The sequence below is a fragment of the Homo sapiens genome, chromosome 19 (genome assembly GCF_000001405.40).
Source record: "Homo sapiens chromosome 19, GRCh38.p14 Primary Assembly".
Classification (NCBI taxonomy): domain Eukaryota; kingdom Metazoa; phylum Chordata; class Mammalia; order Primates; family Hominidae; genus Homo; species Homo sapiens.
In genome coordinates this window covers 6,829,956-6,853,327 of record NC_000019.10, presented here as the reverse complement: position 1 = coordinate 6,853,327, position 23,372 = coordinate 6,829,956, and the positions used below count along the sequence as shown (strand labels likewise).

Here is a 23,372-nt window from a genome sequence, read left to right as displayed (position 1 = left end):
CACCACTGCACTCCAGCTTAGGCAACAGAGTGAGACTCTGTCTCAAAAAATAAATAAATTAATTAATTAAATTATATTATATTAAAATATATATAGGAAGGGATAGACAGGAGTGGAAAGGGGTTCCTGCTACTGCACAGATATGACCTCTGCAAGGCCATTGGAAGGGGTGTCAATGGCATCCCCAAAGTTTCCCTCCACAATGGGAAGGGGCTGAGGCTGTAAGCCCCCAGTCTGAGACCTCCTACCTGCTGGCCTGCTGATGGTTCTCTTTTCAGGCTCCTTGAAGGGGAACTGCAAGGTGGTGTCCAGAGACTTGAAGCAATCCTTTAGAGAGTTCTGCTGGTAAAACTCCACCAGCTCCTAGAAGGCGGACCACATGGCAGATGCTATCCCAGCGGGCCAGCCCATAAGGGGGCAGAGCTAGGAACAGCCATATGCAACTCCTCACATGAAGCAGGCCCTGTTTCTGGCCTCTTTGGAAAGTGACCCCTTGAATACTCCCCATGATGGGGAGTTCATCACCTCCCTGAGCAGCCAGGACTATTTATGGGGAAGGGACCACACTGCCTAAAACAGGTTCTTTCTTTCTTTTTTTTTTTTCTTTGAGACGGAGTCTGGCTCTGTCGCCCAGGCTGGAGTGCAGTGGCGCAATCTCGGCTCACTGCAAGCTCCGCCTCCAGGGTTCATGCCATTCTCCTGCCTCAGCCTCCCGAGTAGCTGGGACTACAGGCGCCCGCCACTACGCCCAGCTAATTTTTTATATTTTTAGTAGAGACGGGGTTTCACCGTGTTAGCCAGGATGGTCTCGATCTCCTGACCTCGTGATCCGCCTGCCTCGGCCTCCCAAAGTGCTGGGATTACAGGCGTGAGCCACCGTGCCCGGCCAAAAACAGGTTCTTTCAATAGTGGACTAACTTACTTCGTGATAAATTTACCAGATAATTAGCTCACCAAATTCAAAACCTTCTATGGGGCCACATGCCTTAATTTACAATTAGCAATCATCATCAGGCCAGATGTAGTGGCTCATGCCTGGAATCTCAGCACCTTGGGAAGTCAAGGTGGGAAGTTCACTTGAAGCCAAGAGTTCAAGACCAGCCTGGGCAACATAGCAAGATCCCATCTCTAAAAAAGATTTAAACAATTAGCCAGGCATGACAGTGCATGCCTGTAGTCTCAGCTATTCAGGAGGCTGAGGAGGGAGGATCGCCTGAGCCCAGGGGTTTGAAGCCACAGTGAGCTATGATCACAACATTGCACTCTAGCCTGGGCCACAGAGCAAGACCCTGTCTCTTGTATTTTTTTTAAAGTAAACCTATATGAAAGGTTCATAGATACTCACTACCCTATTCCAATAACTTGTCTGAAATTTTTCAGAAGTTAAAAATTGGGGGAATATGTTTCAGAATAAAAAGTATGGAGGAAAAAAAAGATTTGTTGAATAAATTAAACTTTGGGGGAGTCAAGGATCCATTTGAGAATCAAGTGAAATCTAAGACAAAAAATACAGATGCATGCAACATTCTGATTTTCTTTCAGAGGACTCAGCTTCTCAAGGGCCCACAGACCATGGGTAAAAACCATATGCCTTAGATCATTAGGCCTAAAGTGTCTAAAATATGGTTGAAAATTACAAGGCACCAAACAGAAGCAAGAACCCTCAAAAGGCATTTGAGTTGTTGCTGAAATGATTATGCAGCAGATTAGGCAAAGACAAGCTATGGGCTCTGCCATTCAGTGAAGCTAGACGAGGAGTAAACCTCAGTTTTACCCATCTGTGAAATGGGAACTCAGAAAGAAGGTTGAGGGGATTAATTAGGTTTCTATCTATAACATATTTGAGGGCTGAATGCAGTAGCTCACACCTGTAATCCCAACACTTTGGGAGGCCAAGACAGAAGGATTATTTGAGCCCAGGAGTTCAAGGCCAGCCTGAGCAACAAAGCAAGTCCCCATCTCTACAAAAAAAAAATTTTTTTTTAAAATTAGCCAGGCATGATGGTGCATGCCTATAGTACCAGCTGCTCGGGAGGCTGAGGCGAGAGATTATTTAAACCAGGAATTTGAGGCTGCAGTGTACTATGATTGCACCACTGCACTCCAGCCTGGGCAACAGAGCAAGACTCTCTTTCTCTCTCTCAATCTCTCTCTCTCTATCTATCTATATATATAAAAATAAACAGATACACGTATATACATGTACCCTACATACATATGTATACATATGTATATATACGTAAGTAAAATTTAAATACACATACATACATATGTATGTATATATGCATATATACACACATACATATATACATAATGCTTGAATATATGTATAAATAAAATTTAAAAATGAACATATCTTACACTTAAGTGCTCTGTCAATATTCAACTGCTGTTATTCATTATTATTCCCATTGTTCATCATTAAGAGCATAAGTTTAAGGTCACTTGCACTGTAGTGCCACTGGAGGGGGGTCACCCTGAATGTGGGAAAAGGGGGTCCCAAGGCGGAGGTGCAGGGAGGGTCCTCCTAGGTTCTGGAAAGCTGGGATTGAGCGGACATTGACCCTTACCGTAAGCCCCCGGAAAGCCTTTTTCTCTGTGATCCGGTACAGTCCTTCTGCTGTCATGATTTTAATGTGCTTGACCTCGACGTTATATCTGGAACCAGATGGTCACCGGGCCCTGAGTCTGGGGACCAGGCCCATTCCCCACCAAGCCCCAGTTATGGAGGAAGCAACCTTGACCCCTTCAGGGAGGAGTAACTACTGGAAACCAAAGACAAGCTGTCCCAACAGAGCCCATTCCCTGGGGCCTTTGCTACTCTAAAGCCTTAATGTCTTCCTCTCGTAGAAGAGGAATCATCTTCCCTGACTCACAGGTTTGTTGAGAAGTCAGTAAGATCTTGTAAAGAAGGCAGTGTTCTAGAATGGATACGAAGAGACCTCCCCTTCCACCAATATAGACAACCATAGGATATAAAGGAAGAGGGAGGAAAGACCCATTTCTGTCAACATGGTGGAAATAGACTAAAAGGGGCCTTGGAGAAGACCTCCACTCCTGCTCATCTGGCAAACTAGATCACAAAAAAAAAAAAAAAAAAAACAAAGAAACAAACAAACAAAACTCTTCCTATTTAAAAAAACACTAGAAATGTTGAGAAAAAAATTGCTGAGCTCTCAAAAAAAAAAAAAGTAAGGGAAATTCACAGGAGCCAAAAATAACAATGAAATTACAAACTCAGCAGCATGTGAGAGAAGGGAATTCCTCTACACTGTGGGCTGGACTGTAAATTGGTTCAGCCACTGCGGAAAGCAGTTTGGAGGTTTCTCGAAGAACTAAAAATAGAACCACCATTTGATGCAGCTACCCTATGACTGGGTATCTACCCAAAGGAAAAAGTAATTGTGCTACCAGAAAGACACACACCCTTGTTTGTTCATCACAGCAGCATTCACAATAGCAAAGACATGGATCGACCCAGGTGCCCATCAACAGTGGACTGGATAAGAAAATGTGGTACATATACACACACTATGGACTACTATACAGCCATAAAGAAGAATGAGATCATGTGCATTGCAGCAGCGTGGATGCACTGGGTGTTATTATCCTAAATGAATTAATACAGAAACAGTAAGCCAAACACCACATGTTCTCACTTATAAGCAGGGGTTAAACATTGGGTACACATGGACATAAAGATGGGAATAATATTGGCCAGGCACAGTGGCTCACGCCTGTAATCCCAGCACTTTGAGAGGCCGAGGCAGGTGGATCACCTGAGGTCAGGAGTTCGAGACCAGCCTGGCCAACATGGTGAAACTTTCCCCCCACCCCCCACCCCACTGTCTCTACTAAAAATACAAAAAAATTAGCCAGGCATGGTGACGTGCACCTGTAAATCCCAGCTACTCAAGAGGCTGAGGCAGAAGACTCGCTTGAACCTGGGAGGTGGAGTTTGCAGTGAGCTGAGATCATGCCATTGCACTCCAGCCTGGGCGGCAAAGTGAGACTCCATCTCAAAAAAAAAAAAAAAAAAAAAGGCTGGAAACAGTAGACTCGGGGGAGCACTAGAGGGAGGAGGGTGGGATGAAAGAGCTGAAAAACTACCGAGTATATGATCACTCCCTGGGTGTTGGGATCATTCATGGCCCCAACCCTCAGCATTGTGCAATATACCTTTGTAACAAACCTGCACATGTGCCCTCTGATTCTAAAATAAGTTGAAAAAAAAAATATATAGGTGGGATGTAGTGGCTCACACCTGCACTTTGGGAGGCTGAGGTGGGAGGATGTTTGAAGGTCAGGAGTATGAGACCAGCCTGGGCAACAAGGAGAGACCCTCGTCTCTACAAAAAATATAAACATTAGCTGGATGTGGTGGTGCACACCTATAGTCCCAGCCACTGGGGAGGCTGAGCTAGGAGGGTCCCCTGAATCTGGGAGGCAGAGGTTGCAGTGAGCTAAGATCTCACCACTGCACTCCAGCCTGGGCAACAGAGACAGACTGTCACCAAAATAACAATAATAATAATAAAATTAAATTAAAAAAATTAGAAATTCCTGGAAGTTAAAAAAAAAGAAAAAACATATATATGAAAATTGGTTAAAAATAAAAGCCTTCAGGCCAGGCACGATGGCTCACGCCTGTAATCCCAACACTTTGGGAGGCCGAGGCGGGTGGATCACTTGAGGTCAGGAGTTCGAGACCAGGCTGGCCAACATGGAGAAACCCCGTATCTACTAAAAATACAAAAATTAGCTGGGCATGGTCACAGGCGCCTGTAATCCCAGCTACTCGGGGGTCTGAGGCAGGAGAATCGCTTGAACCTGGGAGGTTGCAGTGAGCTGAGATCTCACCACTGCACTCCAGCCTGGGCGACAAAGGGACTCTGTCAGAAAAAAAAAGAAAAGAAAAGAAAAGAAAAAAAGGGGAAAAAAGAAAGGTCAGGGCGACAGAGGGAGACTCTGACTCAAATTAATTAATTAATTTTAAGAGCCTTTTTGAGCCTCTATAGGAATCATATCTCTTTCTTGTGGTCGTCAATTAAAAGAAATAAAGAAGGTGAAAGGCACGTGGGAACCAGCAGGGGCTCAGTAAAAGGTGGATGCTATTACCGTACACTTCTATAAAGTAAAACCTGGATACCCTTTTTCCCAGGCCCGCAGGGCCCAGGCCCCAAAAGGGTATGAGTCAGGGAGAAAGGAGTTACTTAATGCTGATGGCAAATTCTGCTGCATCCTTCACCCTCTGCCGCACCAAGAAAGTCCCGTCCGAGCGGTTGGCCAGGATGCTCTCTGCCCCTGCCCGCTCCATGGGGCCTGCGTACCTGCAAAGAGACACCAAGGACAGAGGTGGCACGGTCCCCGTGCCTGGGTCCCCATATTGCCATATGGAGGTTGCCTTTCCCCCTGAACCCCTTTGATTTTTTAAGTTGGTGACAGCCTGGCTCTAACAGCCCTTCAGCACCAAGGTAGGCCCCGTGGAGGCAGGGGCCGGAGCCCAGACATGGGGAGCGGGCTTCCACTTCTACAGGTCACCACTAAGGTTTGACACATGGATTCGGGGGGATGGCTCAGCCCTTTGGGTCTGGCTGGGTGTCTGGAATTTGGCGATGGCTTCACCAGGCATTTCCTGAAGGCTCACTGTGTGCCCATCTCTGTGGTCACCCGGACAGAAGTAGGGGAAGGAGAATGAGTCACGAGCCTCAGGTGCAAAATGTAAGTGAGAGCCAAAAAACCTAGTCATCAAGGTAAATGACAATAAGTAAAACAAACAGTATTCTAATACAATATTCTTAGAAATCAAAATGAATAAAGTCAGCCATCAAAAGGGAAGCAGCACTGACATGGGCTACAATGGAGATGAGCCTTAAAACATCACACTCAGTGAGAGAAGCCAGGCACAAACGGCCACACACTGTGTGATTTCCATTCATAGGAAATGCCCAGAACACGCCAATCCACAGAGACAGGAAGGAGACCCTTGGTTCCCGGGGGCTGCGGGAGGCAGGAGCAACTGCCCGGGATGGGGTTTCTCTTGGGGGTGCTGAGAATGTTTTGGAGCTAAACGGCAGTGATGGCGGCGCAGTATTGCAAATATACCAAATGGCACTGGCTGGGCGCTGTGGCTCACGCCTGTAATCCCAGCACTTTGGGAGGCCGAGGTGGGCGAATCACAAGGTCAGGAGTTCGAGACCAGCCTGGGCAACATGGTGAAACCTCGTCTCTACTAAAAATGCAAAAATTAGCTGGGCTTGATGGCGGGCGCCTGTAATCCCAGCTATTCAGGAGGCTGAGGCAAGAGAATCGCTTGAACTCGGTAGGCGGAGGTTGCAGTGAGCTGAGATCACACCACTGCACTCCAGCCCAGGCAACAGTGCGAAACTCTGTCTCCAAAAAAAAAAAAACAAAAAGCCACTGAATATAAATATAACATGAATATATTTATAATGTGAGTGTAAATATTCAATATAAATAATAGTTATATATAATAATATATAATCATTATATAATAATATATAACTATCTATTGTAGATAGCTATATGTTAATATAGATAGTTATATATAACCCTATAATATATAATATGAATATAATATAAATATACATGTAATATTTATATTACATGGAATACACCATATATAGTCTATGTAAATGTATAATATATGGTATAACATACAATATATTATAAATGTAAATGGGCAACATAAATAATACATACTAATTATATGTAATACATAATTATATATAATATATAATTTTTTTTGAGACAGTGCCTCGCTCTGTCTTGGCTCACTGCAACCTCTGCCTCCTGGGTTCAAGCAATTCTCCTGCCTCAGCCTCTGGAGTAGCTGGGATTACAGGTGCACACCACCACGCCCAGCTAATTTTCTGTACTTTTAATAGAGGCGGGGTTTCACCATGTAGGCCAAACTGGTCTCGAACTCCTGACCTCAAGTGATCCACCCGCCTCAGCCTCTCAAAGTGCTGGGATTACAGGCATAAGCCACCGTGCCCAGCCCATAATACATAATTTTATATAAGCGTAAATATCTCTTGTTAATGTAATGTATATTATAGTATATAATGTACAACATGATTTAAATGTAACATACAATAAAGAATATTAATTATGTGTAATACATAATTATACATAATATATAATTTTATATAAGTGTAAATACATCATGTTAATGTAAATGTATGTTAAAATACATAACGTACAATATGACATAAATGTAACATATATAAATAATAAATATTAATTATACATAATATATAATTTTATGTCACCTAACATAATGTAAATGTAAATATGTAATATATAAAGCTACAGTATAGTATATTATATAACGCATATGATATATAAACATAAATGTGCAATATAAATAATAAATGTTAATTCTCTAGAATATGTAGCATAATATAAATGCAAATCTGTAATATAAATATACTATGATATATGGTATAATATGTGATAAGATGATATAAATGTAAATATACAATTTAAAGAATAAATATTAGTTATATATTATACATAATTGTAGATAAATATAATATAATGTAAAGTAAATAGGTAACCTATAAATCTTATTATAATATATTGTGTATGGTATAATATAATATAAACATAAATGTGCAACATAAATAAAAAACATTAATTTGTGAAAATACATAGCATAATATAAATATATTTTATGATATGTGGTATAATATATAATAGGTTGTAAACATAAATACACAATATAAATGATAAGTATTAATTATAAATCATATGTAATTGCATATAATATCTAACATCATGTAAATGTTAATATGTAATATAAATGTAAATATGAATAGAAATAGAAATGCCAGTAACAATTACAAGGTTAATTTTATGTTGTATGAATTTCACCTCATTTTTATTTATTTATTTATTTGTTTGTTTGTTTATTTTTTGAGACCGAGTCTCGCTCTGTTGCCCAGGCTGGAGTGCAATGGCGCAATCTCGGCTCACTGCAACCTCCGCCTGCCAGGTTCAAGCGATTCCCCTGCCTCAGCCTCCTGAGTAGCTGGGACTACAGGCGTGCGCCACCATGCCCAGCTAATTTTTTTTTGTATTTTTAGTAGAGACAGGGTTTCACCATGTTGCCCAGGCTGGTCTTGAACTCCTGACCTCAAGTGATCGACCCGCCTCGGCCTCCCAAAGAGCTGAGATTACAGGCGTGAGCCACTGCGCCCAGCCGAATTTCACCTCAATTTTAAAAAACGAATGCAAATCTGGTTCGAGTTGGTGTTTAACATCTTTTTTTAATGAATGCAAAGAAACCATGATGAACAAACATCAACATTTTGAATAAAGACAGAATCTGACTGCCCGACTCACCTCACCCACCTCCTCTTACTCCCAGCTCTATTGGATCCTGTCTTTAGTTACAGTTTTGGTATTTGTTCATCTCGAAATTTTTTTGGCTTGTTTTTGATTTTTTTTAATGTTGCATTAAAACATGATGGACCTTAATGACTGAGATTTTCAGCGTCCCCTTAAATCTTGCACCCACGAGAGAGCCTCCCTGGTCTCACCCTGGTCCCCACCCCATTGACCACATCTCGGCGCAGAAGGGCGGAAGGAGCGCTAACGCAGGAGAGCACGATTCAAATCCTGACCCTGCCTCTTACGTGTTCTAAGACCTCGGCAACTGGTTTTGCCTCTCTGGGCCTCAATTTCCTCTTCTGAAAAGAGGGAGACGCCACAGATGCACATTTTTTATAAATGGCAATAGTGCACCTGCTACTATGTGGTACACACTTAGAAGATGGGAGCGTCGGCTGGGCGAGGTGGCTCACACCTGTAATCCCAGCACTTTGGGAGGCTGAGGCGAGTGGATCACCTGAGATCAGGAGTTCGAGACCAGCCTGGCCAACATGGTGAAACTCTGTCTTTACTGAAAATATAAAAAATTAGCCAGGTGTGGCGGCAGGTGCCTGTAATCCCAGCTCGGGAGGCTGAGGCAGGAGAATCGCTTGAACCTGGGAGGTGGAGGTTGCAGTGAGCCGAGATCACGCCATTGCGCTCCAGCCTGGGCAACAAGAAGATGGGAGCATCATCATGCTGTGTTTTATTACTAGCCAGAGATGATAAACTGAGGCACTGAGGCTTTGGGTTCAAATCCCATCTCCATCACTTCCTCACCATGTGACATTAAGTAATTCACTTACCCTCTCTCAGCCTCATTTGCAAAAAAAAAAAAAAAAAAAAAAAAAAAAAAAAAAAAAAAAAGAAGAAGAAGAAGAAAAGAAGAAAGTATGGGGGCAGAGAGTAAGAATCAAATCTATTTTCCGAAGGGCTTTTGTGAAGATTAAAGGAGCTCATTAAATAGCTGATGCGCCAGCAATTGTTCAATGCCCCATTCTTTTATGTGCCATTATGAAAGAACACTTCCTGCCTATAAAATTCAGCAGAAGATGGACACTGTGGATCGCAAGAGCTATTTCAATGTCAGAGATGTTCAAATGTGAAGAAGAAAAAAAAAACAACCATGCATCTTAGAACAGATTAAATGAGTAATAACAACAGCTAATGCTGTATAAAGTCCTCATTATGTGTCAGGACCAGGACTAAGCACTTGACAGACTCATTTACGCCTCCTAAAAACACTATGAAGTAGATACTGTCATTAAGCTATTTTCCAGAGAGGAATGCTGAAACAGAGGGAGGTTAAGTAACCGGCCCAAGGTCATACAGCTAGGTAAGGTTGGGGTCAGAATTTGAATCCAGGTCAGCGGGCTCCAAAAGCCACACTGTAAACCTCCACCCCTATATGCTTGACATGCTATAGGTGCAAAACAAACAAACAAACAAAACAAAAAATCCTACAAAAACAACTGGAACTGTCATTACCATCACCACCATCATCATTATCATCATCATCATTGTCATCATCGTCATCATCATTGTAACCATTTTCCTTCCAACAAGACCATCATCTCCCAAGGTGAGGGACCCTCCTTTGTCTGTCCCATCCCCAGCAGCCCCCAGCCCAGAGCTAGATTCAGAAGTCGGTGCTCAGGGATCACAGAATGCATAACTAATTGGCTCGGAGGTTCCTCCCATACCCAGCCTGGAACCCCAACCCAGAAACCTCTCATTGAAACAAAAATAAATGTTTCTACTCACCAGAGATGAACAGACAGGTCCTGAGGAGGGCCCTAAGAATACAGAGAGAGACCCCAACTTAGTGTAAAGACCCCAGCTTGACAGCAGAGGGCAGGGCACTTCATTCATTCATTCATTCACTCATTCCACTTGCATTTAGTGAGTGCCTATTATGTGCCAGGCACTGTGGTACTCACTGGGGATAAAGTCCCAGAACCTCGGGGGAGAGACTGCCCCAGTATCATATAAAGCAGGGGTTGTCTTCCCAGCAGTTTATCATTACCCTCAAGTCAAGAATGGTTTTTACATTTTTAGATGGTTGGCAAAAATCAAAAGAATTTTTTCTTTTTTTTAGGGACAGAGTCTCACTATGCTGCCCAGGTTGGAGTGCAGCAGTATGATCATAGCTCACTGCAGCCTCGATCTCCCAGGTTCAAGCGATCCTCTCACCTCAGCCTCCCAAGTGCTGGGACTACAGGTACGCACCACCACACCCGCTAATTTTTAATTTTTTTAAATTTTGTCAAGATCGGGCGGGGGATGGTCTCCCTTTGTTTCCCAGGCTGGTCTCAAACTCCTGACCTCAAGCAATCCTCCTGCCTTGTCCTCCCAAAGGTCTGGGATTACAAGCATGAGCCACCACGCCTAGCCAAAAGAATGTTTTTGGGATTGTGAAGATCATATGAAATTCACCTGTCAGTGCCCATGAATTATGCTTTGTAGGAACACAGCCGTGTCTATACATCATTTACAGATTATCTGTGGCTACTTTTGCACTACAGGGGCGGAGCTGAAGAGTTGCAAAACCATATGGGACCCTGGAGGGTGAGCAGATTTACACTACTCTTCGGCTCTTTACAGAAAAAGTTTACCAACCCTCATCTAAATATGGATGAAAGTGCTCACTTTCTTTTTTGTTTTATGTATGTATTTATTATTTATTTATTTGTTCTTTTTGAGACAGAGTTTTGCTCTTATTGCCCAGGCTGGAGTGCAATGGCGCGATCTTGGCTCACAGCAACCTCCGCCTCCCAGGTTCCAGCGATTCTCCTGCCTCAGCTGGGATTACAGGTAGCTGGGATTACAGGTGTGTGTCACCACGCCCGGCTAATTTTGTATTTTTAGTAGAGATGGGGTTTCTTCCATGTTGGTCGGGCTGGTCTCAAACTCCCGAGCTCAGGTGATCCACCCGCCTCGGCCTCCCAAAGTGTTGGGATTACAGGCGTGAACCACCGCGCCCGGCCGAAAGTGCTCACTTTCACTACCTTAAAACAATTAGGACAGCTACTATAAGGCAAAAACAAATCAACAAACAAAACAGAAAGTAGCAAATGTTGGCAAGGATGTGGAGAAATCAGAACCCTTGTGCACTGTTGGTGGGAATGGAAAATGGTGCACTATGAAAAACAGTATGTGCTGGACACGGTGGCTCATGCCTGTAATCCCAGCACTTTGGGAGGCCGAGGCAGGCGGATCACGAGGTCAGGAGTTCAAGACCAGCCTGACCAACATGGCAAAACCCCGTCTCTACTAAAAATACAAAAAATTAGCCGGGCGTGGTGACGCATGCCTGTAATCCCAGTTATTTGGAAGGCTGAGGCAGGAGAATTGCTTGAACCTGGGAAGCGGAGGTTGCAGTGAGCCGAGATCATTCCATTGCACTCCAGCCTGGGGACAGAGCAAAACTCCCTATCAAAAAAAAAAAAAAAGAAAAGAAAAATAGTATGGTGGTTCCTCAAAACATTAAAAACTAGAACTACACTACCATATGACCCAGCCGTCCTGTTTCTGAGTATATACCCAAAGGAATTGAAAGCATGGATTCGAAATGATATTTGCATACCCATGTTTGTAGCAGCTTTATTCACAATACGCAAAAGTTGAAGCAACCAATTGTTCATTGACAGGAAAACGGATAAACAAAACATGGTATATGCATACCATGGAATATTAGCCTTAAGAATTAAGAAAATTGCCCAGCACGGTGGCTCATGCCTGTAATCCTAGCACTTTGGGAAGCCAAGGAGGGTGGGTCTCTTGAGCCCAGGAGTTCGAGACCAGCCTGGGCAACATGATGAAACCCTGTCCCTACAAAAGAATACAAAAATTAGGCCCGGCATGGTGGCTCACACCTGTACTCCCAGCACTTTGGGAGGCCAACGCGGGCAGATCACCTCAGGTCAGGAGTTCGAGACCAGCCTGGCCAACATGGTGAAACCCTGTCTCTACTAAAAATACAAAAATTAGCTTGGTGTGGTGGTGCATGCCTGTAATCCCAGCTACTCGAGGCTGAAGTGGGAGAATCACTTGAACCCGGGAGGCTGAGGTTGCAGTGGGCCGAGATTGCACCATTCCACTCCAGCCTGGGCAACAAGAGCGAAACTCCATCTCAAAAATTTTTTTAAAAGTAGAAAAATTAGCCAGGCATGGTGGCACATGCCTGTAGTCCCAGCTACTCAGGAGGCTGAAGTGGGAGGATCACTTAAGCTTAGGGGGTCGAGTCTGCAGTGAGTTATAATTACACGACCACTGCACTCCAGCCTGGGTAACAGGACCACACTCCATCCCAAAAAAATAAAAATAAAAAAAGGCCGGGCGCAGTGGCTCACGCCTGTAATCCCAGCACTTTGGGAAGCCGAAGCGGGAGGAACACAAGGTCAGGAGATCGAGACCATCCTGGCTAACACGGTGAAACTCTACTAAAAATACAAAAAATTAGCCAGGCGTGGTGGCAAGTGCCTGTAGTCCCAGCTACTCGGGAGGCTGAGGCAGGAGAATGGTGTGAACCCGGGAAGTGGAGCTTGCAGTGAGCCAAGATTGCGCCACTGCTCTCCAGCTTGGGTGACAGAGCGAGACTCCATTTCACCAAAAAAAAAAAAAAAAAGAAAGAAAATTCTGACACATTCCACAACATGGATGAGCCTTGAATACATTATGCCAAGTGAAACAAGCTAGACACAAAGGACAAATACTGTATGATTTCACTTAGGTGAGGTACTTAGGACAGAAAAATCCATAGAGCTCAAGAGTAGAATGTGAATGTCAGGGGCTGGGAGAGGGGAATAGGTGGTTGCTGTTTAATGGGTTCAGAGTGCTGCAAGATGAAAAGTGTTCTGGAGATGATGGTGGTGATGGTGGCAAAACACTGTGAATGTACTTAATGCCACTCAACTGTACCTTAGAAAATGGTTATGTTGGCCGGGCATGGCGGCTCAGGCCTGTAATCCCAGCACTTTGAGAGGCTGAGGCAGGGGAATCACTTGGGCCCAGAAGTTCGAAACCAGCCTGGGCAACATGGCAAAACCCCATCGCTACGAAAAATACAAAAAATTAGCCAGGCATGGTGGTATGCACCTGTAGTCCCAGCTACTTGGGAGGCGGAAGTGTGAGGACCACCTGAGCCTGGGAGGCGAGGCTGCGGTGGGCCAAGATTGCACCATTGCACTCCAGCCTGGGCAACAGAGTGAGATCCTGTCTCCAAAAAAAAGGTTACATTGTTAACTTTTATGTTCTATATATTTTGCCATAATCAAAAATAATAATAATAAAATGAATGAGGAATCACCGCCTCTACCTAGTTCTAAAACATTTTTATCACTCCAAAAGAAAATGCCATACCCAGCCGGGCGTGGTGGCTCACGCCTGTAATCCCAGCACTTTGGGAGGCCGAGGCAGGCAGATCATTTGAGGTCAGGAGTTTGAGATCAGCCTGACCAACATGGTAAAATCCCATCTCTACTAAAAATACAAAAAATTAGCCAGGTGTGGTGGTGCACGCCTGTAATCTCAGCTACTCAGTATTCTGAATTTTTCATTGTAACGGTCAGTTTTATGCTGTGCAAATTTCACCTCAATTTTTTAAAAGAAAAAAGAGAAGGATGTTCTATGAGAGGATTGCTTGAGCCCAGGAGTTCAAGACCAGCCTGGACAACATAGTGAGACCCTATCTCTAAAAAAAAAAAAAATCACACACAAAAAAACAGCTGCGGCTGGGTGCAGTGGCTCACACCTGTAATCCCAACACTTTGGGAGGCTGAAGCTGGCGGATCACAAGGTCAGGAGTTCGAGACCAGCCTGACCAACATGATGAAACTCCATCTCTACTAAAAATACAAAAATTAGCCAGATGTGGTGGCAGGCGCCTGTAATCCTAGCTACTCAGGAGGCTAAGGCAGGAGAATCGCTTGAAACCGGAAGGCGGAGGTTGCAATGAGCCGAGATCACCCCACTGCACTCCAGCCTGGGAAACAAGAGTGAAACTCCATCTTAAATAAATAAATAAATAAATAAATAAAGCTGAGCATAATGGCTTGCATCTGTGGTCCCAGCTACTCAGGAGGGTGAGGTGGGAGGATTGCTTGAGCCCAGGAGGTCAAGGCTGCAGTGAGTTAAATCACACCATTGCACTCCAGCCTAGGTGACAGAATGAGACCCTCTCTCTAAAACAAAAAATTAAGAGATAGATAGATAGAATAGATGGATGATGGATAAACAGGTAATAGATAGATGGAAAGATGATAGATGATAAACAGACAGGTGATGGATAAATGATAAATGAATAGATGAGAGAGAAATGATAATAAATAGGTAATAGACAGATGATAGATGGTTAGATCGGTAGGTGAAAAATAGGCAGAGAGATGATCGGTGAATAGATAGATGATAGATAATACATAGACAGATGATACATAGATAAATGATAGGTGGATGAATAGATCATGAATGTATTGATAAGTAGATAGATGATAGATGGATGGATGGATGGATGGATGGATGGATGGATGGATGGATGGATAGAAGAACTGATTGATGAATGGATGGATTGATGGGTAGGTACATGGATAGATAGACATATAGATAGATAGATAGATAGATAGATAGATAGATAGATAATATGTAGATGACGAATAGATGGATAGATGATAGGTAAATAGATAAAAGATTGATGATGATGATGATGATATAGATAGATAATAGATGGGTAGATAGGTGATAGGCAAATAGATGATAGGTAAATAGATAGATGATATATAGATAAAAGATGGATGCATGGATAGATAGATAGATAGATAGATAGATAGATAGATAGACAGACAGACAGACAGATGAGGGCAGAAAGGACAGCTCTTTCTTGCAGCAGAACACCAGCTAATAAATTTGGAAAGAATGATGGGGTTGGAAATTCCTATTGTAACTTGACAGTGGAGAAACCATAGGAACAAAAAAATTTTTGATAAAATTTTTGGGGAAATTGACAACATTTAAATACAGACTATGAATTAAATAATAGTATAATGTCAATGTTGAATTTTGTGTCTTTTAATATCTTGCTCTGGTTATGCATGAGAAGGCTCTTGCTCTTAAGAAGTATTTAGGGGTAAAGGGGAACGTCGTCTGCAAACTCACTTTTAACTCTTCCAGGAAAAATAAATACTATGTGTGGGTAGAGAGAGGAAATGACAGAGCAAATGGAACAAAACATTAACAGAACTGATGAAACTGGGTAAAGGCTACACAGGAGCTCTTTGCATTATTCTCATAGCTTTGCTAGAAGTCTGAAATAATATAAAGTTAAAACCAGCACTGGAGAGAATTTCCCTCTGCAGGCTGTGAAGTGTACAGTGGGGTCATTTGCTGTGAATGAGGTAGGGGGTGTCTGAGGTTGGGGAGAGAGGGAGAGATCTGAAGTCATCATGAAGAGCGAGGGGTCCATCAAGCAGAGAACACTGGAAGAACAGCAGAGGCTGGAGTGGACAGGTGTGTCCACCAGGAGCAGGGCAAGGACACAGGCAATGGAGGCCACAGTGCTCCCACAGAACTCAATTTGGTGTCTCAGAAGGAAGCAAGGGGCAGGCCCACCTTCTAGGTCCCTGCTCCTTCCTCCCTACCATACCCATGTAGGAAGGAAAGGACCTTTACACAAAAATGATCAAGGAGAAAAAGATCAATCATTGTTTCCAGGGTGGCCCCTCTCTGGGCTCAGTTGGTGGGGTGGGTGAAGCCTTGAGTTAGAGAAAGACCTGCCATGATGGGCAGCCCCCTCCCCAACTCCGGGGGTGTCTTTCCAAGTCTGTCCATCCTCCCAGGACCCGCCCTGGACCCCTTGCCCTTATTCCATTCAGACTTGAGGCACTCACATGGACATAGGGCTTCACCCTGTTACAAGGAAACCAGCCAATTTCATTAGTAGATGTATTTCTGCCCTAAACACCCAGGAGACAAAAACAGGAACAGAGAGGTTATAGGATCCATAACCCCACCTGCCATCTAAACCCATAACCCTACACGTGGATCCTGCCCCATCACTCGTGTGTGTGTGTGTGTGTGTGTGTGTGTGTGTGTGTGTGTGTGTGTCCATCTCTCTGCTCAATGGTCACTCTGCTTGTCCATCTATCTCAGGATGGCCTGGAGAGCCCAGAGAGGTGATAATGAGTATTAGCTTCCTGGGAAGATGGCCCGCTCAGAAAAGCCATGCCCAGAAGTCTCAGTCTACCTACCCCACTCCCCAGGCATCACCTCCAGAGCATGGTGGAACTATGACCCAACTCCCTGAGACCACATGAATCCATAACCCTACACTTGGGTCCCACCCCATCACTCTTGTGGCCCCAGCCTGTACCTCCCACCAGTTCTGTTCAGCCTCAGCCTTCGTGAGCTCCACAATGTCTCCAGGGTTGAGCCGTAGAAAGGGTCCAATGGCTCCAGGGGGTGGAGGAAGCCCGTAGTATTCCTGAAACACCTCCATCTTGGGCAGACCTGGAGGACAGGGTACAGGAGTACAGGGTGGTTGGCAGTCAACTTTCAACCCTGAATCTTGCCACCCACGAGAATGGCTAAAATTTTTCTTTTTAGACTGGCAATACTAAGTGTTGACAAGGACGTGGAGAAACTGGAATTTTCACTCATTGCTGGTGGGGATACTCTTTGTAAAACTATTTGGCAATATCTACTGAAGCTAAACATTGTATCTACTCTGTAACCCAGCAACCCAAGAGAAATGAAAACATGTGTCCTGGCTGGGCACGGTGGCTCATGTCTGTAATCCCAGCACTTTGGGAGGCCGAGGCAGGAAGATCACCTGAGGTCAGGAGTTTGAGACCAGACTGGCCAACATGGTGAAACCCCATCTCTACTAAAACTACAGAAATTAGCTGGGTGTGGTGGTGGGCACCTGTAATCCCAGCTACTTGGGAGGCTGAGGCAGGAGAATCACTTGAACTCCCAGGAGGCAGAGGTTTCAGTGAGCTGAGATCATGCCACTGCACTCCAGCCTGGGCGATGGAGTGAGACTCTGTCTCAAAACAAAACTAAACAAAAAAACAAAAAACAAAAAAAAAGTCCTTCAAAAGTTGCAGCTTTATACACAATATCCAAAAACTGGCAACCAACCAAATGTCCTCAATAGGTTGATCAATCAATAAACAAATTGTGATATCATCACATAATGGAATACTATACAACAATGAAAAGGAACAAGCTATTGCTACAGGCGATCACATCAATGCATCTCACCGTCATTACGTCAGATAAAAGAAACCAGATGAAATAAGCATGTACTGTATGATTTTATTTATAGAAAACTCAAGAGCAGGCAAAATTAATCTATGGTGATAGAGGTCAGACAGTGGTTCCCTATGGGAGATAGGTGAGTAGCAGTGCTTTCTGACAAAGCTTTCTGTGGTGATGGATATGTCCAATATGGTAGCAACTAGCCACAGGCCATTATTGAGAACTTCAAGGCTAACGTGAGCAAAAAAATTTTTAAGGTGATTTCATTTTAATTAATTTATATTACACAGTGCAGTTCTGGAGGGATGGAAATGTTCTACATTTTTATTTGATTGTTGGTTGCATGGATAAAAATGTATTAAGTCATATACTTAAGATTTATTGATTTTTACATACCTTAAAGTATGTATTTCCTCTCTCAATAAAATACGTGTGTGTGTGTGTGTGTGTGTGTGTGTGTGTGTATGTATATATATATACACATATATATATTCTATTGTACAAAGGACACGGGTTGTTTCTAATTTTGACTCTTGCTAAGAAAGCTGACTGACTATTGCTAATTACATAGTAAGTAATAATAAGAAGAAAACATACCCATTCATAGATTTCATATATTTATTTTTTTATTTTTTTGAAACAGGATCTTGCTCTGTTGCCCAGGTTGGCGTGCAGTGGCGTGATCATGGCTCACTGCAACCTTGAACTCCTGGGCTCAAGCAAGAACCCCGCTAATTTTTAAAAATGTTTTTGTAGACACAGGGTCTCGTTCTGTTGCCCACGCTTGTCTCAAACTCCTGGCCTTGGCCTCTCAAAGTGCTGGGATCACAGACATGAACCACCACACCTGACTTATGTTATATATTTATATGTCATATAAATGGCATATAAGTGGAACACTCCTGCCTCTGCACTCCAGCCTGGGATACAGAGCAAGACCCTGCCTCTAAAAATAAAAAAAAGATATATTATATATACATATAATATATTTTTAATAAATATATATTAATATATATTTTATATATTATTATAATATATTATTACTATATTATATTAATTAATATTAATATATTATTAAATAATAAATTATTATATATTTAATAAAATACATATATTTTTAAATTTTTTAAAATTAAGGCTGGGCACAGTGGCTCACGCTTGTAATCCCAGCACTTTGGGAGGCTGAGCAGGCAGATCACCTGAGGTCAAGAGTTCGAGACCAGCCTGCCCAACATGGTGAAACCCCGTCTTTACTAAAAATACAAAAATTAGCCGAGCGTGGTGACATGTGCCTATAATCCCAGCTACTTGGGAGGCTGAGGCAGGAGAATCGCTTGAACTTGGGAGGTGGAGGTTGTAGTGAGCCAAGATCACACCACTGCACTCCAGCCTGGGCGACACAGCAAGACTCCATCTCCAGAAATAAATAAATTAATTAATTAAAATAAGCACATACTGTATGATTTAATTTATACAGTATGGCTGGGCAACGTAGCAAGACCTCATCTCTATTTAAAAAAAAAAAATTAGCTAGGCGTGGTGGTGTGCACCTGACTTCAAGCGATCCTCCCGCCTTGGCCTCCCAAATTGTTGGGATTACAGGTGTGAGCTATTGCACCCGGCCCAATGTGGCTGTTAATATGATTATGGAGATCTGTCCCTGGGTCAACATCAATAGAGATGAATTTTCCTCCTGCCCCCACACAGCAACCCCTGCCAACTCACCCAGCTCATTCCTCTTTTTGTCCTGAGCCCTGCGATGTAGTTTGTCCTGGAAGGAGAAACAAAGAAAGCCTGTCTACCTATGCCCAGCCTGGGGGCTTGTAGGCCCCCTTACTCTCCTCACCCCACAAAGGATCCTGCCCAGTTCCAGGATGTCCTGGGTCCTCCCCGCGCTGTTGCCCATTATTTGTGGTACACAGGAAGGACCACGGGAAAGTCTTACCTTCTTCATAGTTCCTGGGAAATCTACGGGAGGGTAAAGGAAATGGTGAGAACGGGAAATCCTCCAAAGAGAACCAAGCTCACCTCCCAGCCTCCCTCCCACTCGTACCTTGCCCATGTCGGCCACATGGAGGGACCCTCCCCAGACACTCCTTGTGTGCAGATGCCCGGCACCGATGGCAGCGGTAGCCCTGATAGAAGGTACCTCTGAGATGCAGGGAACACATAAAGAAGAGCGAGTGACCTTTACAGACAGGGCCAAATATTCTGCTAAAAACATAAAGGGACCCCTTGGGTTCTCTTTAGATCAGGAGAGTGACGGAGAAGCAGAAGATCAAAGTAGGGACTCCCCCATCTCCCAATTTAGGGAACCAATTACTAGGCCATCTTCTCTAGCAAGGAACTGATGACCAAGTCCGGTATGCAGGACCCTCCTCCCAGATTCTCACCTAAGCAGCATCTGACAGGCCTTGCAGGATGTGGTCTCCTCAAAGGAGAACATCTGGAAGTCATGCCCGTTGGCGGTGGCATTCTCCGGATAGATGTTGGAGCTGGCAGGGGAAAATTAAAAAAAAAAAAAAAAGAAGGTCAGTATTTTATTCCTTTTTATGGCTGAATACTATTCCATGGTATGAACAGACCACGTTTTGCGTGTCCACTCATTCATTGATTGGCTTTTGGGTCGTTTTCACCCTTTGGCCACACTGAATCGTGCTGCCATGCACATTGGGAGAAAGAGAAAGCAGGCTAGGAGTTTCCAGGGGCTGCGAGAGCGGGGAATTGGGAGTGAATGCTTAATGGGTATGAGGTCTCCTTTGGGCTGATGAAAAGGTTTTGAAACTGGATAGAGGTGATGGTTGCACAATGCTGTTAGTGTACAAAATGCCATGCGATCATACACTTCGAAATTGTTAGATTTTTGTTGTTGGAATTTTGCCTCACATAAAAAGGAGAAAGAGAAGACAAAAGTGGAAGAGGAGGAAGAGGGGAAGAAGAAGGAGGAGGAGGAAAAGGAAGAAGAGGAAGAGGAGGAAAGGGAGGAGGAAGAGAAAGAAGAGGAGGAAGAGGAGGAGGAGGAGGAAGAAGGGGAGGAAAGGGAGGAGGAGGAAGAAGAGGTGGAGGAGGAATAGGAGGAAGAGGAAGAGGAGGGCGAGGAGGAGGAAGGGGAGGAAGGAGAGGAGGAGGAAGAAGAAGAGGAAGGGGAGGAGGAGGAAAGAGGAGGAGGAAAGGAGAAGGAGAAAGAGGAGGAGGAGGAGGAAGGAAACCAGAAGGAGGAGAAGGAAGAGGAGAGGAGAACAAGAAAGAGGAGGAGGAAAGGAGAAGAGTCTGGGCTGGTAACTGAAGCTTGCACACAACCCCTGCATTCCAAGGATGAAGACAGCCTTGGGCCTGTCCCTCTTATTTCCCAAATGAAGAGACTGTGGTTCAGAGTGGTCCCATGGCATGTCAGGACAGAGTAGGGACTAGATCACGTTCCTCCTTCCCAGCCCCTGCCCCTCTGTGGACAGAAAGAGGGAGGAAGACGGGGACTCACATGGCCATCTCAAACTGCTCCATCCACTTCTTCTTCAATTCTCTTGTCTTGAAGAACAGCTCATAGCCCTGGGCACCTTGGTCCTCGATCAGGAGGAACATGTGGCTCCACTGCAGGGAAGCAGAGCTCAGACTGAAGGCACTGCCCCCGCAGAGGGTGGGAGCACACACCCACCCACCCCTCCCTCTGTAGGGAACAGGCAAGCCCATGACAGTCTCTATGCCCCTAGCACCATGCATGGATATCCTTGTAAAAGGGCTTTCTAGGATATCCAAATACACAACCATAAACCCAAAACCACATACGCAGGCGTGCACATGCACACACACACACACACACACACACACTCCCCTTTGCAGAAGCACACACCAGACACAGCATGTCACTCATCATCGATTTTTCTGTTCAACAAAGCATTGGTGCAGCACCTGCTGAGAAACAGACACTGCTAGGAGCTGGGGACAGAGCAGTGAATAGGATGTGGTCCCCAGAGCTCCAGCCTGGTAGGAGAGACGGATGCTGTAAGCAGGCAGTTACAAGACAGCAACTGGCTCCTCGAGGGAGACACAGGTTGAGAAATAGAGAAGCCAGCCGGGCGCGGTGGCTTACACCTGTAATCCCAGCATTTTGGGAGGCTGAGGTGGGCGGATCACGAGGTCAGGAGTTTGAGACCAGCCTGACCAATGTGGTGAAACTCCGTCTCTACTAAAAATACAAAAAAATTAGCTGGGCGTGGTGGCGGGCACCTGTAATCCCAGCTACTCAGGAGGCTGAGGTAGGAGAATCTCTTGAACTCAGGAGGCGGAGGTTGCAGTGAGCCGAGATCATGCCTCTGCACTCCAGCCTGGTGACAGAGCGAGGCTCCGTCTCAAAAAAAGAAATAGAGAAGCCACAGACCAGAGCACAGGGGGAACTCCAGGGCAAAAACTGAAGCGAACGGAAGAGTTCACAGGAGAAAAAGCAGAAGGAAGTAAGGAAGAGCCGAGAGGGAGAGGGGTCTCAGCTTAAATGTCACTTCCACAGAGAATGTCCCTGAACAATGGAGGTAAGATAGCTCCCCCTCCCACCCTCACCTACCACAGCCACATCTCCTGTTTCATTCATTTATTTTTTAATAGAGACAGGATCTCACTCTGTGGTCCTAGCTGTAGTGCAATCATAGCTCTCTGCAGCCTCCAACTCCTAGCCACAGGCGATCCTCCCACCTCAGCCTCCCATGTAGCTAGGGCTACAGGCATGTGCCACCAAGCCCAGCTAAATTTTTTTTTATGTTTTGTAGAGACGGGGATCTCCCTATGTTGCCCAGGCTGATCTCAAACTCCTGGGCTCAAGCAATTCTCCCACCTCGGCCTCCCAAAGTACTGGGATTACAGGCATGAGCCACTGCACCCAGCCACCTACTTTATTTTCTTTGTAGAAAGCATCCCATAAGAACGCAAGTACCATACAAGAAATAAAATAAGCTGGGCACAGTGGCTCACGCTTGTAATCTCAGCACTTTGGGAGGCCAAGATGGGCAGGTCACTTGAGGTCAGGAATTTGAGACCAGCCTGGCCAACATGGTGAAACCTCGTCTCTACTAAAAATACAAAATTTAGCTGGGCATGGTGGTGGGTGCCCGTAATCCCAGCTACTCGGGAGGCTGAGGCAGGAGAATTGCTTGAACCTGGGAGCCAGAGGTTGCAGTGAGCCAAGACCGTGCCACTGCATTCCAGCCTGAACAACAGAGTGAGACTGTCTCAAAAACAAACCAACAAACAAACAAAATGAAAATTCTGTTTTGCTTTCCATTTTAGTCCTAGTGCCTAGAAGAGTGCCCTGGATATAGTAGGTGCTCAATTTAAAAACTGTTGAGTGGGCTCACGCTTATAATCCCAGCACTTTGGGAGGCCGAGGCAGGTGGATCACGGGGTCAAGAGATCGAGACCATCCTGGCCAACATGGTGAAACCCTGTCTCTACCAAAACTACAAAGATTAGCTGGGCGTGGTGGTGTGTGCCTGTAGTCCCAGCTACTCGGGAGACTGAGCCAGGAGAATCGCTTGAACCCAGGAGGCGGAGGTTGCGGTGAGCCGAGATTGTGCCACTGCACTCCGGCCTGGCGACAGAGCGAGACTCCATCTTAAAAAACAGAACAAAACAAACAAACAAAAAACACCTGTTGAGTGGATTAACACACACTTCCATGTAGATGTAGTCTGGCAAACAGGCACATGCCCAAGTGGAGAGGGCTAAGCTGCCGACTG

The 23,372-nt window shown here is 44.6% G+C and overlaps 1 protein-coding gene across 4 annotated transcripts in view; it reads right to left on the bottom strand.

Moving 5' to 3' along the window:
• VAV1 (vav guanine nucleotide exchange factor 1) overlaps positions 1–23,372 on the bottom strand; it is an 84,654-nt gene that overhangs the window by 4,034 nt on the left and 57,248 nt on the right. For 2 of the 4 annotated variants that reach the window (NM_005428.4, NM_001258207.2), the window contains 11 exons: positions 21,128–21,237; positions 20,043–20,144; positions 19,703–19,800; positions 19,595–19,617; positions 19,375–19,420; positions 16,760–16,896; positions 16,278–16,343; positions 10,162–10,193; positions 5,214–5,330; positions 2,571–2,658; positions 249–363 (listed from right to left, as the gene is read on the bottom strand). In NM_005428.4, the coding sequence (NP_005419.2) occupies positions 249–363; positions 2,571–2,658; positions 5,214–5,330; positions 10,162–10,193; positions 16,278–16,343; positions 16,760–16,896; positions 19,375–19,420; positions 19,595–19,617; positions 19,703–19,800; positions 20,043–20,144; positions 21,128–21,237 (934 nt within the window). The remainder of the gene's footprint in view (positions 1–248; positions 364–2,570; positions 2,659–5,213; positions 5,331–10,161; positions 10,194–16,277; positions 16,344–16,759; positions 16,897–19,374; positions 19,421–19,594; positions 19,618–19,702; positions 19,801–20,042; positions 20,145–21,127; positions 21,238–23,372) is intronic. The other 2 variants (XM_005259642.2, NM_001258206.2) reach the window with 2 other exon arrangements.